This window comes from Homo sapiens, chromosome 2 (genome assembly GCF_000001405.40).
Source record: "Homo sapiens chromosome 2, GRCh38.p14 Primary Assembly".
In the NCBI taxonomy this organism is placed as follows: Eukaryota; Metazoa; Chordata; class Mammalia; order Primates; family Hominidae; genus Homo; species Homo sapiens.
The window spans coordinates 73,639,260-73,642,785 of record NC_000002.12 but is presented as its reverse complement, the minus strand read 5'-3'; the positions used below and the strand labels follow the sequence as shown (position 1 = coordinate 73,642,785).

The window sequence follows — 3,526 nt, the reverse complement described above, 5'->3', positions numbered from 1 at the left end:
CAAGCATGGGGACTCGGCTTCTGGCCAATGGTGACTGATTGCAGGGTGAATGGTACAGTTCTCAGGCTCGTCGTATATGTGTACAAGGACCAGGGTGGATCGTATATGTGGACAGGGACCGAGAGTACTAAGTGTGCCAGGTGGCAGAGAGATGCACGGGGCCTGAACAGGCAAGAGAGGTGGCAGGCCTTCCAGAAGGGCAAGGAACCCAGGCGGTTCCAGACCCTGAGTCTCCCCCTCCAGGTCGTTCCCTTTGACCACAAAGAGGAATGCACACTGGGCTCCCTGCTGTGTTACAGCCCAGCTCTTTGACCCTAGGGTTGATGATTACCAAACATTCAGGAGCCAAGCAATAAGGCAGGCAGTCTACTTTCCAGGGGTGAGCAAGCCCCAGACGGTATCTCCTGGATGCCAGTGAGCGGCTGAGAGCTGAAGCTCCCTGGACACTCAAGGCTCTTGTGGTGACAGGTGAGGGGACTGGGTGGAAGGACAGTGCTCTGAGCATGCACCTTCCTTGGGATCTGGAGGCTGGGCTGTTTTTTATGCTTGGCTCTTATGCCACTTCAGCAACCTAAAAACTTACAATAAAGCTGGAGGGAGCCTTTCCTGAAACTTGTGTTGGACAGAGAATTTTTGCGATGTATGGTCCCTGGAGAAGGACAAAAGGGTTGCACGTGTGGCCTGCCTGAGGTAGGTGCCCCCTCAATGCACGGAGAAGCTGAGAGAGCCAGAAAAAGGAAACAGAAAAAGGAAGAGCGGTGGGTAGTTCATCTACCAGGGCTTTATAGAAGGCATCTTATTCAATCTTCAAAACAACTCTAGAAGGCAGGTTTTCTTCTCCCCTGTTCTATAGTTGAAGAAATGGAGGCTCAGAGAGGTTAAGTGACATGCCTAAGGTCACACAGCTAGAAAGGGATGGAACCAGATTCCAATGCAGGTCTTTCTGACCCTACCTTCTCCCAGTGGCAGAGGCCTGCTTCCTCATGGGCAAACGCGGAAAGACACACCCTTGAGCAGGTCTCCCTGTTCCTGCAAGGCTGGGAGCCATGCAGGCACTCACATGATTTTCTCTCTCTTCCCCAGTCTGACGTAAAGGCGTGCAGGGAGGCCTAGCTCTGTCTCCTGGACTTAGAGATTTCAGACACAGAAGTCTGTCCATGGCTCCTTGTCACATCCGCAAATACCAGGAGAGCGACCGCCAGTGGGTTGTGGGCTTGCTCTCCCGGGGGATGGCCGAGCATGCCCCAGCCACCTTCCGGCAATTGCTGAAGCTGCCTCGAACCCTCATACTCTTACTTGGGGGGCCCCTCGCCCTACTCCTGGTCTCTGGATCCTGGCTTCTAGCCCTCGTGTTCAGCATCAGCCTCTTCCCTGCCCTGTGGTTCCTTGCCAAAAAACCCTGGACGGAGTATGTGGACATGACATTGTGCACAGACATGTCTGACATTACCAAATCCTACCTGAGTGAGCGTGGCTCCTGCTTCTGGGTGGCTGAGTCTGAAGAGAAGGTGGTGGGCATGGTAGGAGCTCTGCCTGTTGATGATCCCACCTTGAGGGAGAAGCGGTTGCAGCTGTTTCATCTCTTTGTGGACAGTGAGCACCGTCGTCAGGGGATAGCAAAAGCCCTGGTCAGGACTGTCCTCCAGTTTGCCCGGGACCAGGGCTACAGTGAAGTTATCCTGGACACCGGCACCATCCAGCTCTCTGCTATGGCCCTCTACCAGAGCATGGGCTTCAAGAAGACGGGCCAGTCCTTCTTCTGTGTGTGGGCCAGGCTAGTGGCTCTTCATACAGTTCATTTCATCTACCACCTCCCTTCTTCTAAGGTAGGGAGTCTGTGATCTCTTTCTGTGTGTATTGGTCAGAATAGAATCCATTCAGCTGTAGCAGCAAGCAATCCCCAACCTTTCACTGCAATGACCTTTCAATGCAATAAAAGCTTATTGTCCATTCACATCTGAGTCCCATGTGATTGCTTGTGGGGTAGCTTCTGGGTTTCTGCTTCATTCAGTCTTTTTGATTCCCATCTGTTTCATTTTTCTAGTGCCAGCATAATGTTGCATAAGAACAACCACCAAATGAAACAAATATTTATTTAGTTCATGAGTCTGAAGTCAGCAATTTTGCCTGAGCTTGGCTGGGCAGTTCCTCTGGTGTCAGACTGCATTGTACAAATGCAGTGGGATTGGCTGAAAGACTAGGTCAATGGTGCTGTTTCGTTTTCCCACAGGCTACCTCAGGCATGGTTTCAAGGAAATTGCAGAGGAGCAAAAACAAAAGCAGAAACAAACAAATGTGTTTTCAAACCCCTGCATGTGTTGCATCTTCCCCAAACTCAAGGAGAGGAACCTGTCTCTGCAGTGAGAAGGGCTGCAAAGTCACATAGCAAAAGGGTGGAATGCAGCCTCGGGAGAAGAATTGGGGCCAGAGACACAACCAATCCACTCTAACTCCAGGGTCTCTGCAGAGGGAAGAAGGTGGCCTCAGAGGGGAGTGTGGGATTTACCATGGGCTAGACCTGGAAGTAGTATAACTCTTCCAGGGGATCATAACAGAATACCTGAGACTGGGTAATTTATAAGGAAAAGAGGTGTATTTGGTTCATGGTTTTGCAGGCTGTACAAAAAGCACAGTGCAGGCATCTGCTTCTGGTGAGGGCCTCAGGAATCTTTTACTCATGTTGGAAGCTGAAGGGGGAGCAGATGTGTCACATGGCGAGACAGCACACAAGAGAGATGCTAGGTGCTTTCAAACAACCAGCTTACATGTGAACTAATAGAGCCAGAACTCATTCATTATCATGGACAAAGCACCAACCCATTCATGAGGAATCCACCCCTATGAGCGAAACACCTCCCACTATGCCCCACCTCTAACATTGGGGGTCATATTTCAACATATGATTTGGAGAGAACAAACATCTAAACTATATTGGTCTGCCCCTTACCCCCAAATCTCATGTCATCTCACATTGCAAAATGAAACCATCCCTTCCTGATAGTTCTCCAATGTCTCAGCTTGTTCCAGCATCAACTCAGAAGTCCAGAATCCATAGTTTCATCTGAGCCTCAAGGCAAATTCCTTCCACCTATGAGGCTGTTATATCAAAAACAAGTTACATACTTCCAAGATATAATTGTGTTACAGGTATTGGGTAGGCATTCCCATTCCAAAAGGGAGAAGTTGGCCAAAAGAAAGAGGCAAGAGGCCCCACACATGTCTGAAACCCAGCAGGGCAAACACTAAATCTGAAACTTCCAAAATCATCTTCCGTAACTCCATACTGGTGAGTGGAGTGGCCTTTCAAGGCCTTGAGCAGCCCTGTCTCTATGGCTTTGCTGGGTGCAGCCCACATGGCTGCTCTCACAGGTTGGGATTGAATGCCTGTGGGTCTTCCACGCTGAGGTTGCAAGCTGCTGGTGACTCTACCTTTCTGCTGTCTGGAGGGCATTGGCCCCATTCCCACAGCTCCACTAGGCAATGTCCCAGTGGGGACTCTGTATGGGGTTCCAACCCTATGTTTTCC

The 3,526-nt window shown here is 50.3% G+C and overlaps 1 protein-coding gene across 1 annotated transcript; it reads left to right on the top strand.

The window, feature by feature from the left end:
* The first annotated feature begins 363 nt into the window (after positions 1-363).
* On the top strand, positions 364-2,063 carry NAT8 (N-acetyltransferase 8 (putative)). Its single transcript, NM_003960.4, has 2 exons — positions 364-468; positions 1,084-2,063. The coding sequence occupies exon 2, from the start codon at positions 1,158-1,160 to the stop codon at positions 1,839-1,841; it is 684 nt and encodes a 227-aa protein (NP_003951.3). The 5' UTR covers positions 364-468; positions 1,084-1,157; the 3' UTR covers positions 1,842-2,063.
* Positions 2,064-3,526: the final 1,463 nt, after the last annotated feature.

Coding starts and splice junctions, on each gene's coding strand:
- NAT8 (NM_003960.4), top strand. CDS start 1,158: ATGGCTCCTTGTCACATCCGCAAATACCAGGAGAGCGACCGCCAGTGG.